Source organism: Homo sapiens, chromosome 10, assembly GCF_000001405.40.
Source record: "Homo sapiens chromosome 10, GRCh38.p14 Primary Assembly".
In the NCBI taxonomy this organism is placed as follows: Eukaryota; Metazoa; Chordata; class Mammalia; order Primates; family Hominidae; genus Homo; species Homo sapiens.
The window spans coordinates 131,925,929-131,945,816 of NC_000010.11; the positions used below are offsets into that span (position 1 = coordinate 131,925,929).

A 19,888-nucleotide genomic window follows, 5' to 3' on the forward strand; every position below is an offset into this window, starting at 1 on the left:
TCAGCGCACACACAGGCCCTTAGTCTGAGCCACTCCATGTTGATTTATTTCCCTTACTGGGCATGTGTTAAGGGACGGGATTTTTCAATGTGGGCATGTTTAGGCGACTTCCCCCACCCCATGCACAATGACCTGGGCGGGGCAGAGATTCCCTTGGGACCTTTCCCTGTTTGCCTGTGTATTGCATTTGGCTGTCTCCTGCCTCTATCAGTAATTCGGATAAACTCAATTTTGGATGCTTTTAGATTATAGTGTCTCTAGAGTCTTACTGGGTCTCGGACATAAATAGTTTTCCATTTTTTTAATATATGGTAGAGGCTTATAATTCACTTCTATTAGTTTATGTCTGGTTTTTGAACAGAATGGACTTTTTGCCTTTGGGTGAGCTTCTTTGAAAAGACACAGAAACGTGTGTATATGTGTGTGCGTGTGCATCTGTGTCTGCTTGTAGAAAATTTCTTACTTCCAGCTGAGCGCAGTGGCTCACGCGTGTAATTCAGTACTCTGGGAGGCTGAGGCAGGAGGATCGCTTGAGCCCAGGAGTTCGTGACCAGCCTGGACAACATAGTGAGACCCTGGCTCCACAAAACATTAAAAAAGGTAGACAATTTCCCACTTTTCTTGTCTGTCAGTTTGTCGTATCCAGAGTGCCCTGTTGCTGAGCTCACCGCCTGGCAGCCTCGGTAAACTCTGCCTCCTTGGAGGGCAGCTCTACTCCTCTTTCTGCATATGTACTAAATTCTTCTCAGAGAAGTTTTATGTGAAGGAGTTGTGATTTCCAAAAACTCTCTGGCTGGATGTGTTTTTTGACTGTTGTGTGTCATCGTTTGAGTCCCTGCAGTATGCACACAGCTCTGCCAGGTGCCGCAGAGCAGGAAACAAATGGCCTTGCCCGGCACCTTGCCTCTGCCCAGCGTGTAGAGGAGAGAAGTGATTGGGTGGGTAATGGTAGGAAACGAACTCGTTGCCAGAGTAGGGGTGCGTTGAAATGGGTGAACTTGCCGAGTCAGGGTAGCAGAGCGCTGGCTACAGCGAGTTCATGAAGGACTGGGAGGAGAGGGTGTGGTGACCACGAGTCCAAAGAGCTGCCTAGCTTGGGTCATCCCGCTCCAGGTGGTCTCTGCTGGAAGCAGTGGCTTCTTCCACTGCAGGGGGTGTCTTTGACGGGGAGATTATGGCTGTTCTCTTTTGGGTTCTTCTGTTTTTCATGAAATAAGCAGATTCATTAATGGGAAGTGGGGTGAGTGGCTGGGGTGCTGGAAGTTTGAGGGGAGAGGAGAGGTGTGAGACAGTCATTTTGAGGAGGGAGGAGCCGTGGTCTGGGAGCATCAAATGAAGGAAGGAGAAACTCTCCCCCCGGGGAGTGGGGTGTGAGACAACAGAGAGCCCCCATGGAGAGGGCCTGGGAGAAGCTGCTGTCAGGGATTGCAAGTTTCAGACTAAGAGGATGAATGGAGCCTTCAGAGAGGGCGGGTGCGCGGGTCGGACGGGTGCGCGGGTTGGAGTACAGGAGGCCCAGAGCTTGGCGGCGGTGAGAGTCCGAGTGAAGACGGATAGCTGCTTGGGCCTGAAGTCAGCGGGATGATGTTTGCTGCAGAATGGAATACCTGCAGAGGGCACAGGTCCCAGATATGCAGTACTGACTGTCGCCCAGCAAAGACCCCCAGTAAATACCCAGCCCCACTAGGAGCACGTTGCCAGGACGCCAGGCCCTCCCTCCCTCCGGGGCAGCTCCTACCCCAGCTGGCATCGCACATCGGACACCCCGTTCTTGAATGTGGTATAAGTGGAATTGCACCCTAAGTCCTCTGCAGTGTTTGGCTTTCTGTAACTAACCTGGGGTGTTACGCGATGGTCATTTGTTTTCATTGCTGTGTGATGTTCTGTTGTATGAATATGCCACAGTTTATGCATCTTTTCTACTCTTGACGGACATTTGAGTTGATTCTTTTGTGAACGTGCTGTGAACATTCTCGTAAGTGGTTCAGTGATGCACATATGTAGTTCTGGGGGCTGTGTGTCTGGAGTGGAGTTTCTGGGTCACGGGATATGCATGTTTCACCTTAGTGGATATTGTCCGATGGTTTTCAGAGTTGCTGTACCCATGTTTGCTCCAGGAGCTGTCTACGAGAGCTGCCGTGGATACCTGGAAAAGTCAGTCTCATTTCAGCTGGTGTGTGAGTGTGACATTGCAGGGTGGCTTGTACTGACCCTTCCCTGACAGCTAGGGAGGGTGGACACCAGTTCATCTGCCTACTAGCCTAGGGTCCGATTTGCTAGTGCCTCCGGTAGGGCGCTAGTTTTCCTTATAACCACCTCCTGGGCTGCTAGGCCACCTCAGTTCCTGGTGGCCAGGTGGAGACCATCAGGAAGGGGCAGTGGCCTCGCGAGCAGCACCTGGTCTGTGGTTATGTGCCAGGAAGTGTGTTTAAATGACCCACTCCAGAACTAGCCGAAGAGGACCTGCGGGAAACTTTCACATCATGTCTGTCAGGGATCCCTTTTGTTTTGACAATGACTCAGTAATTTTAGGTGATGCGTTTTAAGTACTGTATCTTTTTTGGTAATAGACTGATTGTGGTACTTGGGTATTGACAGGGTTTTTTCAGGCTGGTAATGTTATCTTTATGCTTTTCAAGAGCTTCCTCCCGCTGCTTTCTGGACATTGGGCTCTGAGGCTTAGGAGAGGAAATGGGGGAACCCCTTGAAGGCTGCGGCAACCCTCCAGCAGAGGTGGTGGGTGCCGTGGGCGGAGGCTGGCGGCAGTGAAGATCCAGAGAAGTAGAGAAGTGAAATAGTCACATTTTTATTTTGTTTTGAAAAACCTAGTGGGTTTTCAAAAACTATTAAGTTAGGAAAAGTCTCAGGATATGAGCCATGCAGCCAGCAGGCCTCCAAATGGCCGTCCAGGCAGGGGAGACGGGTCAGACGGGTCAGGAGACATTGTCTCTCGGGACAAGAAGAGCTGAGAGCTGATCTGATGCATTCATATTTGACATACCAGTTAAAGGAAGTAGTTAGAAATGATGTACGTATAAAAGAAAAGTAGAATAATAATACAACAGGCGCCTCTGTCCTCAACCCCAGAACTCACGCCTGGAGTTGTTTGTCTGCCTTCGTTGTGTTTCTCTCCAGATGCAGTTTCTGGATCTCCTGAAGGCTGATGACCCCAGACGGCCTTGTCATTGCCCCCTGTACTACCTCGGAAATCTTGGTTTCAGGCACCCCCTTGGATTTCTGTCTCCTGTGCTTCCCGCAGAGTGGCCCTGCTCAGGCGCCCCCTCCTGATCCTCTGAGCCTCTGCCTCCTCCCAGCCACTGGGCAGGCTGGAAATGTTATCATGGGAATGGGCAGGCTGGAAATGCCATCGTGGGAACTGTGCTGGGTGGTCTGGTGTTGCCCTTAGTGTTTCGTTCACTAAAGCGTAAGCCGTGTGAAGACGGGCTTTGTGTTGTCTTGAGGCCACCCACGCAGTGCTTGGTTTAGAGCCACTCAGATGTAGGAGCAGCTTAAAAAGATAAGCTGCTGGCCTCAGGTGTGAAGTGGGCGTGGATACTGGGAGGCAGGCCTGCATTTCTCAAGACTCGTCACTCTTCTCTCTTCTGAGGGGACTTCCGCCATAGGCTCTCCACATCGCCCGTGTCCTCTCTTTCACTCCTAGCAGGTGACCCTCCCTCATGCCTCGTGGAAACAGTGCAGCCTGAGGGGCTGTGCTCTGCCCGCCACACCTGCCCGCTCCATTCTCACAGCAGCTCCCGGCTGTGCTCCGTGCCTCCCTCCCCGCCACCACCGGCAGCTGACTCTCCCTGGGGCACATGGTCCTGACTTCTAGGGCATGTTTTACAGATCCCACTGACTCCGTTTCCCCTTCCCCATCCACAGCTCCTTAGTCTGCTTCCTCATAGCACCCGAATGTCCTTTAAACCTGGGACCTCATTCCTCGTCACCTGCCCCTCCTCTCTTGCCACCTGAGGCCGCCCCGGTTGTAACTCCTGTGCTGGGACTGCTCACTTTTCATTCCGTGGTTTCGAACCGTCAGTGCCAACCTCCTGTATGGCAACCGATGATTCCGCCTTTTACTGATACCACCTTCAGCCCACGTGTATCCCCACTCCCCACAAAAAAAGAGGTTGAAAGAGATCTATTGCAAGTTTTTGTTACATAGTATTCCGTTAACAGGTAAATATTGTGTATTACTGAACTGTGCCTTTTCTTTTTCACACAAGTTTTCACTTTCCTAGGTCTAATGATTGCCTGATTTTCTCATATGCTTAGTTATCTGTGTCTTTAGTGCATTTTTTTTTTTAGCAAACACTTCAACAGGTCTATCAAATACCAACACATCAGATCAGCTCTCAGCTCTTCTTGTCCCCAGACCAGTCTCCCTGGCCTGAACGGCCACTCTGAGGCCTGCTGGCCGCCTGGCTCATGTCCTGAGATTCTCCTCACCATTTTTTGGAAGTCAGATCTGCCATCTTCCTTCTCTTGGCTTTTTCTCTCATTTTGCCAAATTGCCTCTCGCAGCAGTTTCCTGAGAAAGCATTTGTTTGTTTTGGCTCTTTGCATATTCGAAAACATTTTTACTGCTCCCTCAGATTTGATTGAAAACTTGACTAGGTCTAGCATTTCAGGTTGAAAATTGTTTTCTCCCAGAATTTTGAGGGTAGTTTGAGGTTTCATCCACCATGTTTCCTGCAACCTGTGTGATGCCATCTGACTCCCTTCCTCTCCGCATGTGACCTGTTCATTTGCTCTGGAAATTTTTAGAATCTCCTTTTTATCCCTGGTGTTGAGATGTGCGCGGCCTGGGTCTGCCATCAGCCATGCGGGGCCTCTGAGCCTGGGAACGGGGCCTTGGATGCTTCTGCCTTGCTTTCTCTGTTGTGTTTCTAGAACTCGTCAGCTGGGAGGTGGGCCACCGAAACTGATCCTCTGATTGTCTTATCCTTCCTGTCATCCATGTCTTTCTTTCCACTCTGCCCTTTGGAGGAGATCTGAAGGTTTTGATGATTACTGTTGCCCTTTGGATTTCACATGGCACTTTCTCCTCCTCTTTCCTTCTTTAGCATATTCTTCCTCTCCTGGGGGCCCCACTGGGTGTCCTGGCTGAGACCAGCCCAGGTGTCCTGCCCCACTCACCCGCAGGGGCTTGCTACCTTGAGCACGCAGGGTCCCACGTCCAGCATCCCTCTCCTCTCCCCTCCATCAGGCGGGGATGATGATAGCCCTGCTTCCTGGGGCTCTTAGAGGCCTGGCTACGTTAGTACAGGGCTTGTGCGTGGTTAGGATAGCACCTGGCTCCTAGTAAGCATTCAGCCAAACCCTGGTACTGTAGCGGCTGGTAGTAGTCAGCAGATCTCCAGAACATGATTCGGGCTTTCCCGTCTCTCTTTGTTCAGATTCCATCCTTGTTTTTGTTTTTTTGTTATTTTTTACTGAGATGGAATCTTGCTTTGTTGCCCAGGCTGGAGTGCAGTGGCGTGATCTCAGCTTCCTGCAATCCCCACCTCCCTGGTTCAAGCGATTCTCCTGCCTCAGCCTCCCGAGTAGCTGTGATTATAGATACACACCACCATGCCTAGCTGATTTTTGTATTTTTAGTAGAGATGGGGCTTTGCCATGTTGGCCAGGCTGGTCTCGAACTCCTGACCTCAGGTGATCCACCCGCCTTGGCCTCCCAAAGTGCTGGGATTACAGGCATGAGCCACTGCGCCTGGCCCCACCCATCTTTGTTTTGGTGACTTCTTGAGGCTCTGCAGGTCGTGGCTGTTGGTTTCTATTTCTGAGTGTAGCGAGGCTGCTGTTTCTGTGGGCCTGGGCTTTTCAGCTGGCAGCTTCACTGTGGTTGGCCATGTCCTTGTAAAACCCAAATGTTTGAATATTGAGGCCCTTTCCCCAGGGCTGGAGTATTTCGGAGGGCACCCCTGGGGATGGCGGCCGGTAGCCAGTGTCTGAGGAACAAGAAACTGTGTGCTCCCACCTGGCAGGGTGAATGGGGGGCGACCTGGGGACCAAGCAGCTCTGTGAAGACTTTCTGCATCTCTGTGCCAGCCCCTTGCTGCCCCCACGTTTGTTAAAGCTGCTCACATAGATGCTTTTTCTGCTTTCTTCTGACACCTGGGCGGGGGTGGGAGGGTAAAGGAGATGAACACACACGCATGGCCCACCATGTTCGGCGGGAGGTCTGAGAGGACTCGGGGTGGCTGCGGACACTTTGCGGATTTGATGGGACCCGGATGTTGAATGAGGATTGCACAGCCAGACAGCCAGCTGGCAGCAGTGCCACGGCAGGTGGAGTGTGACATGGCAGTGGGGCCTGTCTGGCTGAGAAGAGACCCGATGTCTCCATGGGATGGCCAGGAGGTGCCAGGCTGTACCGTGGGCAGAAGCACTCCCCTACCCCAGCAGGGAAATGGAGGCAGAACGCAGCCATGGTGAAGTTTATGGTAGTTTAAAATACCTAACTCACTTTGGGAAGCTGAGGCAAGTTGATCACTTGAGACTGAAGCGGGCTGATGACGTGAGGCCAGGAATTCGAGACAATTCTGGTCAACATGGCAAAACCCTGTCTCTACTAAAAATACAAAAATTAGCTGGGTGTGGTGGTGCACGCCTGTAATCCCGGCGACGCAGGAGGCTGAGACATGAGAATCACTTGCACCCTGGAGATGGAGGTTGCGGTGAGCCAAGATCGCGCCACTGTACTCCAGCCTGTCTCAAAAAAAAAAAAAAAAAAAAAACACACAAAAAAAACCTAACTTGGTGCCTTTAGTACCATATTTATGCCTTCAGCATCAGTCTGGTTTTTAAAAACTGTCTCCATCAGATTAATTTGATGTTGATAATTTAAACGTTGTTGGTTTTGTAATTTTGTGTATTTAGTTTGGGTTTAGAGATTGAGCACTGCAGTGTTTCTAATTTTAGGTTCACGCGTGTTTGTGTAGCTTAATGAAACTTCCCAGCACCGACAGTTACAGGAGTTTCTCTTTTAAAAGACTCAGTCCATTATAATTAAGTTTGAAAATCACTGACAGAGCTAGAATACAATTAATTATGTAATTTTATACACCCTCTGGGTATAAATGACATAGATTTAGACCTTTTTAATCCAATACATAATATTTTAGTTTCATTTAAGCAAGTTAGGTTATTTTCAGTAATTTAATAGTGACGCTTCTAAGAAACAACCTAATCCTTCTTCCAAAGTCTGAAGATTTTGAAAAGAAAGAACTCCCAGGCCAGGGATTCCCGTGTGAGGCCAGCGAACAGTGCCAGCCGCGGGAGCTTGCTGTGTAGATGTTGGTGGAAATCCTTCACTAACACGATTAAAACGCCTTTGCAGACCTGTCAGAATTGCATTCTAGCCACTTTTGGAGGGAGCTGTTTGAGTCACTTCAGCTTTAGGGCCCATTTCTTCTTAGTAGGTTGTTTACAATAGCCATTTAGTTGTTTTTTTACTTCCTACTATAAACGTACCGTGGGCCCTGGGTGTGCCCAGGTCACTGCGAGCCCTTGAGTTGGTGCCCAGCAGGGAGGCGAGCTTGTAGTGTTCTAGCTGTTCCTGAGACTCCCCCACACTGCAGGGTAAGGCGAGGAGTCCCACTGTGGCCATAGGACAAGCTCTGATGGCCCCTCGGGAGGCCACGCCAGGCCTTATCCTCAGTCCGCACGCGACACAGCAGCACTGCGGAGAAGCCAGCCTCCTCCAGAGTCTGTCATGGAACTCCCCCTGAAAACAGAAAATCTTTGTCCAAGTCACAGACCTGGGATTTTTTTTTTTTAATTTAATAGTTGGTCATAAATCCAGACACTCCCTTCCCAACCCGAAGGGTTAGCCTCAGGACACCTGAGGACTTTCTCACTGCTTAGTGGTGGTGTTCCTTCTGCCCCGGGGTCTTGGCCTCTGTTGAGCTGGTGTCTGGGGTCTTTGTTATGCTGTCAGAGATCTCAAGGCCTCCCTGACAGTTGTCTCACTTGGTAATGATGTCATCATTATCAGTGGTGGTAACTGTATCCAGACAATGACATGGAACTTCTACTGTCTAGAATATTACATTGTACAGAAGCCAACAAAAGTTATTGCATAGAATATTAACAACATTTTTATTACTATTATATAAGAATCAGATTTATTTTAAAAGTTAACATTAGGTATGCATTATAAAATTAGGCAACATTCTTCAGGACCCATTTTTTTCCTCTATTTTTTTCTTTTACAGATGAATTTTCTAAATTTCTACCCTTTATCCTTTTATCAAGACAACCTAGTCTAGATAAATCCTGGTGCTCCAGGGGCCCAGGCATGGGGGTGGAGTAAAACTCGCCCATTCACCTGTGCCGGCAGGTTCTCTGCACCAGAACCAATAAGTGGCCACTTGGTAATTACAAGTTTGCCAAGACAGTTTTGCTTTAGTCTCGGAGAAAGTTGTATATGTTTATCGTCCTTTTGCTCTTTTTTATTAATTTTTTGGTATTGTGACTCCTCCCCAAAACCGCATCCGGTAAATCGCTTCTGTATTTTGTTGACAGCGGACATCATTTCCACCGTTGAGTTTAATTACTCTGGAGATCTTCTTGCAACAGGAGACAAGGGCGGCAGAGTTGTTATTTTTCAGCGTGAACAAGAGGTCAGTAATTTTCAGTCCACAAATCAAATGCAATTATTCAACCTTTCGCATATAACTTAGAAGGGAGGAAGCAAAATTATTTTCTCATTGTCTCATTTCATTAAGATTCAGTTCCATCACATTAGCCATACAGAATCTCCTTTCAGAAATTATCTAAGTTCTGGCCTCAGCTGCTGAGCCCCGGTGAAGTCTCCAAGGCCTTTGTCTTCAGAGTAGGGAGGAGATTCCGCTGGGGACCCCATGAAGGATGCAGGGTGGTGGTGAGGTGCATTTATGTGCTTTCATTCCATAAGAACTCACGCGGCTCTCTCTGAAAATCCCTTTATACGCCTATGCAGGTACTGGCCCAGCCCCGCCGTCCTGCCCTGCCATGAAGTGTGAGCAGCTTTCTCAGCACTTCCTGCAGAGAAGTCTGGCAGGGGTGTGAATTCTCTCTTCCCTTCAGGGAGAGGTGAGCAGCACTCACTCCTCCATGCCCCCTTGAAGGCTTCACCTGTCTGGAGGGAAGGGAACCTTCAGAGTGTGGGCCTTGGAGGAGCCCACAGCTCATAAGCAAGCACTGGCTTCCCGGTCACGGCACTGCCTTTTCACTGATGCCTTGCCAGCCCCCTCCCTCTTCTTTCTGTTGAGCCTCCTCAGAGGTCCTAATGAGCAGTGATAAAGGAAGCAAGATCATGATTTGGTAGTCAAGGATTCCTGGCAAGAACCCTGGCTCTGTGCAGCTAAGCCTGGGGTCTGAAATATTTGTCCTGCCTTTTCCTTATAAATACAGTCCCTTGCCCTTCCTGTCTCTGAGTTTCCTAACAGATGAAAGGGACAGTTTATCATCTCCAAAGTCTGGTCTCTAAATTTGTGTGACGAACTTTGGTTTAGAGGTTGGTGGGCCCTGGTTCCCCTCTCTGCAGATCTGTACACAGGAAGTGCTGGCCCTGCCCCCCAGGAAGGGGAGCCTGGAGGAGGACTGTCCCTGGGCCACATGAGGAAAATTGACAGGTGCTAACCAATTTCATTATCAAAACATACCTGTTGCAGCTTTATTTTGATTATGTCCAGGTAGTTAAAGATTTTTTTAAATCCTGTTTTCTCTGATTTGGGATGGTAAGAAATCCTTTTGTGAATAATAAGTATATCGTTAATATTTCTTCACAGTTTGATACATTTATAATTTTGCATTTTTATCTCAGAAGTAGAATATCACACAATGCTACTTAAGAACCATATACCTTGGCCAGGCGCAGTGGCTCACGCCTGTAATCCCAGCAATTTGGGAGGCCGAGGTGGGCTGATCACCTGAGGTCGGAAGTTCAAGACTAGCCTGACCAACATGGAGAAACCCTGTCTCTACGAAAAATACAAAATTAGCCGGGTGTGGTGGCACATGCCTGTAATCCCAGCTACTTGGGAGGCTGAGGCAGGAGAATCGCTTGAACCCAGGAGGCAGAGGTTGCGGTGAGCCAAGATCGTGCCATTGCACTCCAGCCTGGGCAACAAGAGTGAGACTTCATCTCAAAAAAAAAAAGAACCATACACCTTACCTTTCTCAACAGAAGTAAAAGTGGGTTGTGGTGTTTAAATGTTACTTTTAAAGCAGGAGGAGTTTTTGTTTTTTTGAGATGGAGTCTTGCTCTGTCACCTGGGCTGGAGTGCAATGGCGTGATCTTGGCTCACTGCAACCTCTGTCTCCCGGGTTTAAGTGGTTCGCCCTGACTCAGCCTCCCAAGTCGCTGGGATTACAGGCATGCACCACCACGACCAGCTAATTTTTGTATTTTAGTAGCGATGGGGTTTCACCGTTGGCCAGGTTGGTCTTGAACTCCTGACCTCAGGTGATCCGCCCACCTCGGCCTCCCAAAGTGCTGGGATTACAGGCATGGGCCACCACGCCTGGCCAGCAGGAGGATTTTTTAACAAATTGTTGAGTCATGGCTATCTTAATGCAAGACTTCACTTTTAGCTTATTTAAAAAGTCTGTCATTGTAGCGATAGCCTTAGGGAAGATGCCTCATCCCTGCCTAACAGATTTTAGGTTAGAAAATGGAATTTCTCTTGTTTTTGTGAATCGTTGCTTAACCTAAATAATAATAGTCTCAAATATAAAACAAACCCTGATAAAAGTCAAGCATCTCGTTCTAAAAGATATTGGGTATTATAGAGTGTTAAGTGCTTTTTTAAGATGAAGTTGTTATGTGAGTGACAGATTTATACAGGAGCAAGTCCCTACTGAAGTTGTTCAGCCAGCTGCAACTTGACAAACCCCAGGCAGCCTTTTTTCTTTTTCTTCGTATTTCGGTTCACGTCTGAAAGGCTTTCACGGTCCATCCATTTTAGAGCATTCGGCTGGTTGCCCCATGTGCCCTTCCCTGTGGACTTGAGTGTGTCTGTGGGTAAGGGCGGCAGTGCACGTGTTCATCCATGGCCGGAGGCCGCGGATGGTGTTGCAGCCGCCAAGAGGGTGAAGCTGCTGCCCATCAAGCGACCCCAGCTCCCAGTTAGAAGCTGCAGCAAGGTTCACAGGCGTCCACGTGTGCGTCTTAGAATCGAAGGAGCGTGGAGGATTCGGAAGGCTAGTGAGTGAGCACCAGATTGTGGAAGGTGCAGGGCCTGAGATTCAGGAGTCAGGTCCATAGAGGCCCGTTGGGAAGCTCTGGCTGTGCAGAAGACGAGGTGGGAAGCATAGTCAGCACCTTGAGTTTCAAGCTTTTCTTACTTTTCTGTGCAGATTAAGTCTTACAGGAAAGCCCAGCCAATAAAACTAAGGCCCACAGAACGTATGGGTGTGGCTGTGCGGCCCACTGCCCTCCAGGCTCAGCTCTAGCCGCCAGGAATCAGGTGAAATCAGAAATCAGCACGTCCAAAAAGAGAAGGTGCTCGCTTCCTCCTCTTCCTGTGTGTTACTTCCCTGCTCTCCTGCCCGTGTCCCCATGAGGCTTCCTTTAGAATTCTCTCCTAGCAGAGCGGCACTCCATGAGATCTGGGAGTGTTGGAGAAGGCTGAGGGGTTGCTTGGGTTTGGGGTGACTGGGATGGGAGTTGGAACCCGTTCATGGCAGAGAGACAAGCCTGCAGCCTAGGGACCATTCTTGTTCTGGCTCTTAGGAGAAAGGCCAGGGCAGTGCAGGCAGCACTTTGACTTGGACATTTTATTTTTTTGCTTCTATTCCGCTGTTTTTTCTTGGTAGATGAATGTCTTGGGCATAGGACTAATTTAGTTATACAGATTTTTCTTTTTAAATAATTTGGTTCCACTTTTCTCCCTTGAAATAGAACTGTCTGTTGAGGGGCTGTGCTTTTTTGTAGAGTGGTAGGAGAGGGTCAAAGGAGAACAGTTTCAACATCTGCCCCGTGCAGCACACGCGGGGCAGTCAGCAGCAAGGCGCTCAGCTCCTGCCCGTGGAGGCTTCGGTTGAAGGAATGCAGGAATGCCCTGCCTGTCAGACTCAGTGCGGCGGACAGGGGCAGGCGAGGCACTCAGCTCCTGCCCGTGGAGGCTTCGGTGGAAGGAATGCCCTGCACGTCAGACTCAGTGCAGCGACGCGGGGCAGGCGAGGCGCTCAGCTTCTGCCCGTGGAGGCTTCGGTGGAAGGAATGCCCTGCACATTGGACTCTGCAGCAGTGCGGGTGTGGGTAGCTTCTTGGGATGTCTTCTCCTGATACTTGATCAGATTGGAAATATCAAGGAACATCTGTTTAGACTTGAAAGTTCGTTTAGTTCCATTCCTTTAGCATATGTACTAAAGTGTTAAACACCTAAGATATTAGATATTGGTTATAGAGCAAGAATGAAAGTACTGGCGTCCTTGATTTTGAATTATGAAATATTTAATACTTAATAGAAAATTTCACTTAGGGCATACAGAAGATTCAGAGGTTAATATAGATGTACCTGCAAACCCACCACCCAGAGGTTATCCCTTCATCAAAGGAAGGAGAATGCTCGGGATACAGATGAAGCTCCTGTTGTCCCCTCCCCATTTCAGCCTGCTACTTTCCTCCTGGTCTTTTTCACTCTCCCTCTAGCTTCCCAGAGTTGCTCATGATTTTGAAGATGGCATATGTCTTCCCAAGCATGTTTCTCCACTTCTGTAACAGACTTGTTCTGTACGTACGTAAGCAGCACCTCACTCTGGGCACCTGTGCAGCCTGCTTCACTTGTGCAGCACTGTGCGGTTGTCTGTGCTGGCTCATTTATCTCAGCGGCTTCGTGGTGGTCCCTGCATGGCCCTGTGGCTTACTGTTGCCCTTCGCCTCTGGTTGGCATATGTGTGGCGTCTGGTTCACTACCACTGTGTTGGAGCTGCCACATCGCTGTGTCACGCTCCTCAGGCCCGTGCTGGCTCTCCTCTAGAGCAGACTCAGCAGACACTTTCTCTCCAGGGCCAGATTGCAAACATTTTTGCCTCTATAGCTCATGCGGCCTTTTCACAACCACTCACCTCTACCCAGATGGTGCAGAAGCAGCCAGAGACAGTATGTGCACACATGGGCCTGACTGTGTTCCACTAACACTTGCCTTAAATACGGCAGGCTGCATTCAGCAGACCTGCTCCAGAAAACACGGCAGGCTGCATTCGGCAGACCTGCTCCAGAAAACACGGCAGGCTGCATTCGGCAGACCTGCTCCAGAAAACACGGCAGGCTGCATTCGGCAGACCTGCTCCAGAAAACACGGCAGGCTGCATTCGGCAGACCTGCTCCAGAAAACACGGCAGGCTGCATTCGGCAGACCTGCTCCAGAAAACACGGCAGGCTGCATTCGGCAGACCTGCTCCAGAAAACACGGCAGGCTGCATTCGGCAGACCTGCTCCAGAAAACACGGCAGGCTGCATTCGGCAGACCTGCTCCAGAAAACACGGCAGGCTGCATTCGGCAGACCTGCTCCAGAAAACACGGCAGGCTGCATTCGGCAGACCTGCTCCAGAAAACACGGCAGGCTGCATTCGGCAGACCTGCTCCAGAAAACACGGCAGGCTGCATTCGGCAGACCTGCTCCAGAAAATACGGCAGGCTGTATTTGGCAGACCTGCTCCAGAGAACACGGCAGGCTGCGTTTGGCAGACCTGCTTCAGAAAATACGGCAGGCTGCATTCAGCAGACCTGCTCCAGAAAACACAGCAGGCTACATTCGACAGGCTGAATTCGGCAGACCTGCTCCAGAAAATACGGCAGGCTGCATTCGGCAGGCCTGCTTCAGAAAATACGGCAGGCTGCATTTGACAGACCTGCTCCAGAAAATACAGCAAGGCTGCATTCGGCAGACCTGCTCCAGATGCATACCTAGAAGTGGAGTCGAAGAGTCGGAAATCAAGTTCGTTCTTTTTTTTTTTTTTTTCCCTGAGTTTCATCTGAGATTTTTTTGAGCCAGGATTTTTTAGCTTTAAAAAATATGTATGGTCATTTGATATTCAAATTTATAGTACTGAAATTTTCTCTACACTGTGCTTTGTTCATTAAAACAGCTCTCATGTTTCCTTGCAGAATAAAAGCCGCCCTCATTCTAGGGGAGAATATAATGTTTACAGCACCTTTCAAAGTCATGAACCGGAGTTTGACTATTTGAAAAGTCTAGAAATTGAGGAAAAAATTAATAAAATTAGGTGGTTACCACAACAGAATGCTGCTCATTTTCTACTGTCTACAAATGGTAAGAATTGTGTTCTAAGTGGCTGTTTGATTTAGTTTTTTATTTTTAATTTTCTGTGTGTGTGTAGATTCCTTTTTATTTTAGAAGTTATTCCTGCTTTAAATTTTGGGGGGAGGGTAAGTTATCTAGGGTAGCAAGTGATAGGTTGAAAATTCAAAGTATGCAACAAAAACCACACGTGCACTTTATTATGCTGTTACTCTGCACGTCTGCACATCTTTCTTTATTGTACAAAACACCTCCAATTGGAAATATTCATGTTCAGAGACCCCATAGCTTATAACCCAATATAGGACCACACCGCTTTCTAATACCAGTACTCAAACAGTAGTGATGCATGTTATAGTTTTTCTTTTCATATGGAGAATGAGGTTTTTATTTTCAGATAAAACTATAAAATTATGGAAAATAAGTGAACGGGATAAAAGAGCAGAAGGTTATAACCTGAAAGACGAAGATGGAAGACTTCGAGACCCATTTAGGATCACGGCGCTACGGGTACACGTTGCCTTTGCTTTATCCAATGCTGTTGAGAAGTTAAGAATAAACGTTTCAGTCTGCTGTCTGGAGAGTGCTGCGCGGTGGAGTACTGTGAGGTCTGCTGTGAGGTCTGCCTCGTGATTCCTGAAAGTCGTTTGCACTCATGTGTGTGTTTAAAAGCAAGGTCTTTCTCCTGTTTTCACAAAGGCAGAAAGTCACATGTGGTCCTTAGGAAACACAGCAATACTAAGGGGAAAACTCATATTTAATTCTACAGCAGAAATCTTTGTGGACATAGCAACCACCCTTCTCTCAGAAGGTTCAGAACAGCACCTGGGAGGTTGGAGTTCAGATGAAATTCAGAACACCTCACAGGTGCAGTAGCACAGGTTGCAGGTCGAAAGATGAGCTGTGGGCCACAGGTACATTCAGGACGCTTCTCGGGGAATTTCTTTGGGGTTGGTTTAGGCAGATGCTGATGGTTCAGAACTCTCCACCTGTCCATCCATGAGCATCATTACTTTTTTAATTGTTAAATTATTTGCTCCATTGTTGGTAGTATGAAATGATCATATTTCATCAATTCTGATGCCTAAATTTTTTCATATTTTAACATTTATGAAACCGGCTAAAACTCAAAACCTCAATGTCTTATAATTGGCCTGGTGCTACGCACCACTGATGTTGTCTTAAATTAGATGGAACATGGTGAAGGGTGTCCGGCAAACTGGGCTCGAGCCCAGGTGTGTCTTGGTGAGAAACCAGCACCTGTGCAGAGGTGTGTCCCCTGGAAGGAAACTCTGCCTGGTCCCAAGGGGGTGCCGTTACTAGATTGGAAAACCGTTGGTTGTTTGGGTGGTTGGGTGGTTTGGTTGCGGGGGGTGGGTGGTTGAGTTGGGTGGTTTGGTTGGTTTTTAATGAGATTTCAGCCCCTTTTACACTATTGTTTATCAAGTGAAGACTGAGTGAGTGAGCCCATTCCACATTAGTCTTGGAGAGTGCTACAGAGGACGCTGTACCGCAGAAGCCTTTCCCTAACACATGTGCCTCTGGGAGTGATGTTGGGTCTGTTCTGATGCCATTTCTCCAGCTTTGCCGTGTGGGGTGGCTACACCTGGGGTTGTGCATTCCTCAGGAGGAGTGTCCTCAGACTTCTCACATCGATGTTGTCACCGTATTTCCTATGAGTTCATCAAAGCGAGAAAGGCTGTGGCATTTGCTGAAAATCTAGTTTATAGGGTCCTAATTTGAACCAAGATGTTTTGATCCAAAATGTTGGTGATGTCTGATACACAGTGCTGCCGCCTTTGCACCCCTGAATTAGTGTAAATCACTTTTAGTGACAGTAACACGAGTTGTGCAGTTCCATCATCATGAAACTGCTGATCCTAAAGTAGAAGTGTGATGGGACCCCCGAGGGTGGGCACTTGACCCCCTCCAGCCTTGTCCATCTCTTCTGCAGCCAACACCACCTCCCACCCAGTTACCTGTGCACACCCCACCCTCAGAAACCCCTGTTCCTCCTGATCAGACCCTGCCACAACCCATCAGCTCACGTGCTCATTTTGGGAGAACAGTAGGCCTTTACTAGGCCCAGTCTTGGTTTTATTCAAGGCTGCTTTTGTAGGTTTAGCCTAAATAAAACGGGTATAATTGGTGGCCCTACTGAAGGTGTGTGAGAAGTCTAGTTATTTCATTAGTTGGTGCATGGGGAAGAGACCACAGACAGGTAATTCTGTACATTGACTTAGGTCGGTATTTGAGATCTTACCTCTCTAACAGTTCAGAGTGGGCTATTTATGTATCTGAGCCTAACTGGGTAAGAGTCAGACATGTTGCTGTTTTTAAATTTTTGCTCTTAAATTATTTTAGTGCCAGAAAAGGGATATAATTAAAAGAAGAAATCTTGGCCAGGTATGGTGGCTCATACCTGTAATCCCAGCACTTTGGGAGACCGAGATGGGAGGATCACTTGAGCCCAGGAGTTCAAAGACCAGCCTGGGCAACATAGCCAGACCCCATCTCTAAAAATGAAAGCAAATTATTTTATATGCAAATTAAAATGTTTTCAATAAAAGAAGGAATCTTTGTAAGTATTGCAGCTATCATATGTTTTGATTAATGGGAAATTTGTTAGAGGATTGGGGTAGGTGTGTGTTTTTAAGCCTGAACTTGGTAGAACTGACTCTTCTTGCTCTAGAGAATCCAAGGGTGTGGTCAGCACTACCTGGGTTAAAATGAGGGAAGCCTCCCTACACACACTTTTCCAAGTTGGTTTTTTACAGAATTCAGCCAGACAAGACTCAGTTGAGAGCTTTTCTTTTTCCCCTAAGCTTTCAAGGCTCTCCCTTTTGGTTTCTAATTACAAGAATAACAAAAAATACTATCATTAATTTTTTGTTTTGATTTTAAAGCTTATGTTTTTCTTCCAGCTGGATGTTAGTGAGACACAGGCCTTTTTCCTTTTTTCATGTGTGATGCTATTCCTCACGCCTGAGCTCTCACCTCTGACCATAGGCGGCCTGCAGCCAGCGCCCACTCCTCTCTGTCCTTTCTATTTCTGTGCGAATTGGGCTTCCCTAGGAAGCCTCCCTGACCACAGCACTCAACACAGAGATGGGGGCGGGAGGTACCTTCTACTTTTTGTTTTAACCTCAAGTGAAGTGTAATATATAATACATACCTCCAGATAAGACATCTGCCCTATAAGTGACCAGCTCCATGAATGTTTGTAGGGTGCACATGCCCATGTAGCCAGCCCCAGACCAAGAAATGGAATATCCTCAGCTCCCCAGCACCCTGCTGTGCACCCTGCCAGTACCTGGAGCCAGTGGAGGTTTGTGGGGTTTGCACCGAGAAGCATAGTCCTAGTGCAGTGAGAAGAGGTGTGTGCATCTAGCTGCAAGGAGAGGACAAAGGGAGGGGTGCAGCTGAGCCACCCAGGAGGACTTTGCTGTCCAGCGCCTCAGTGTGGCCACTGGAGGACACACAGGAGAGGGAGCCGCAGGCCTCGGTGCCTGGGCAGTTTGTTACCCTGCCAGCTGATCTTCTCTTCAGCAGGAACATGTCGACCTCGGTAATGGAAGCAAGGGGAAGACTTGGAATAGACAGTATTCCATTTTGTAGCATATTTTCATAACTCTGCTAATTGGTTATTTGGGGGTATTGCCTGTACAGAATTATTACTTAGCCATGAATATAAACTTGTCCTCTTTCGTTATCTACTATAAGTGTTCTAATTATGTGCTGCTGTGATCTTTGTTTTGAATTCCTATTTCCTTCCATTTTTAGGTCCCAATATTGAAGCCCATGGATCTTATGGTAGAAGCGAGTCCACGGCGAATTTTTGCAAATGCTCACACATATCATATAAATTCCATTTCAGTAAATAGTGATCATGAAACATATCTTTCTGCAGATGACCTGAGAATTAATTTATGGCACTTAGAAATCACAGATAGAAGCTTTAGTATCCTTCCTCAGAGGGACACTGGCGTCTTCCCGAGGGTGCTCTTTAGATAGTAATTTCTCTCGTCCCTTTATACACCTGTATCTCGGAGTCTAGTCTTGTAAATACCATCACTGCACAGCAGCCTGTGATGTAAGTTCTCTGTGATTTGAAATGTTTGTCCCTAAAAATACAAATTTCTTTCTACCTTTGGGAAAAAGTTATCTGTATAATGGGAATTACCTGAAGTCCACTGCCTGCCTGGTTTAATCAGAGGCAGTTTTAAATAGGCTACATTTGAAAAACCAACATTATGTGTTCTTTTTTTTTTTCTAAATTTGCTAATGAATAATAGAAAATACTGGCTTAGGTTAGAGCAGTGTTTAATCACCCATCTGAGCAGCAGCTTCCAGTTAGAACCTGTGTTCTTCTGTGGCTGTGCACAGTCTGGGTGGCCCCAGCCCTCCTCACATGGGCCCCTTTCCAGCCAGCAGCCGGGAGCATGGGGCTTGCTTCGTCTGCAGCCTCTCCAGGGTCCCTGCCGTCCTCCCTCTGCTGTCCAGTGGCTTGAGCTGGGGTTCCATGTCGTATGTTGGTTTTCTTAGTTGTTTCAGCTTGAAGGGTGAAACTGGGACTGCTAGTCTGAATTGGCCCACAGCTGAATTCTGCCCTTTCTTATTTTTTTCAGTTGAAGGATTTCTGTATAGGATTTCTGTTGGATCTGTTCTAGCTACACAGAATAAGCTCTTCATGTCAGGAAGAGCAGCATCTTTTGGAATTTGGCGGCATTCTTGTGTTGTAGTTTTGTGTGGGAGTGTGGGATTTTGCACAGATGGTACTAGCTTGGTTTTCCTATTTATATGATTAAGTATGTACTATCTTGCTATTAAGGGCTTTCTGTATAACATTAATAATAGCAGCAAGATGAAAGCGGTGTTCGCTTGTCTGTGTCTCCCCCTGGGCCGGGGCGTTGCTGTAGTCTGAGTGTGCTCATCCCAATCCCCTTACCAGGCGCTCCTTTGGAATTCGGGATGTGTAACCAGCCTTCTTAATAGCTAATCCCTTAAACCTCACTGCGTGGATTATTTGGCGTCCTATTTCGCGTGACTGAATGTAGACTAATTAACAACCAGCTGAGCTGAGCACTGTGCCTTAACCATGCACTCCCAGACATCGTGGACATCAAGCCTGCTAACATGGAGGAGCTGACCGAAGTCATCACTGCAGCCGAGTTCCACCCGCACCAGTGCAACGTGTTCGTCTACAGCAGTAGCAAAGGGACCATCCGCCTGTGTGACATGCGCTCCTCGGCCCTGTGCGACAGACACTCCAAGTGTAAGTGCGTCTGTTGTTGAGATGGAGTCTGGCTCTGTCACCCAGGCTGCGGTGCAGTGACACAGTCTCGGCTCACGGCAAGCTCCGCCTCCCGGGTTCCAGCAAGTCTTCTGCCTCGGCCTCCCGAGTAGCTGGGACCACAGGCAGGTGCCACCATGCCCAGCTAGTTTTTGTATTTTTAGTACAGACAGGGTTTCACCATGTTGACCAGACTGGTCTGACCTCAGGTGATCCCCCTACCTCGGCCTCCCAAAGTGCTGGGATTACAGGTGTGAGTCACCGCACCTGGTCACGCCTGGCGTCTTTTAAAGCATCTCATTTAGAGCCACTTGTTCTTCAGACACTCCAAAGACTTAG

General features: G+C 48.1%; 1 protein-coding gene across 12 annotated transcripts in view, besides 2 other annotated features; it reads left to right on the plus strand.

The window, feature by feature from the left end:
• The window catches only part of PPP2R2D (protein phosphatase 2 regulatory subunit Bdelta), a 70,526-nt gene that overhangs the window by 24,921 nt on the left and 25,717 nt on the right, over nt 1-19,888 (plus strand). For 3 of the 12 annotated variants that reach the window (XM_006717914.4, NM_001291310.2, NM_018461.5), the window contains 5 exons: nt 8,530-8,627; nt 14,103-14,268; nt 14,654-14,766; nt 18,040-18,217; nt 19,367-19,531. In XM_006717914.4, the coding sequence (XP_006717977.1) occupies nt 8,530-8,627; nt 14,103-14,268; nt 14,654-14,766; nt 18,040-18,217; nt 19,367-19,531 (720 nt within the window). Of the gene's footprint in view, nt 1-8,529; nt 8,628-8,965; nt 9,079-10,485; nt 12,247-12,268; nt 12,725-14,102; nt 14,269-14,653; nt 14,767-14,839; nt 14,865-18,039; nt 18,218-19,366; nt 19,532-19,888 lie in introns of those variants that run through there. The other 9 variants (XM_047425473.1, XM_047425472.1, NR_033191.3 and 6 more) reach the window with 8 other exon arrangements.
• Nucleotides 8,433-9,632: an enhancer, noted in NCBI's record as "MED14-independent group 3 enhancer chr10:133747865-133749064 (GRCh37/hg19 assembly coordinates)". NCBI's record gives its function as "activates an origin of replication core promoter dependent on BRD2, BRD4, P300/CBP and CDK7 cofactors, and independent of MED14, by STARR-seq in HCT116 cells {active_cell/tissue: HCT116}" and the evidence as "EXISTENCE:reporter gene assay evidence [ECO:0000049][PMID:35650434]".
• Nucleotides 19,027-19,856: an enhancer, noted in NCBI's record as "H3K4me1 hESC enhancer chr10:133758459-133759288 (GRCh37/hg19 assembly coordinates)". NCBI's record gives its function as "activates a minimal SCP1, AML or CMV promoter by ChIP-STARR-seq in naive H9 embryonic stem cells {active_cell/tissue: H9 hESC(naive)}" and the evidence as "EXISTENCE:reporter gene assay evidence [ECO:0000049][PMID:30033119]".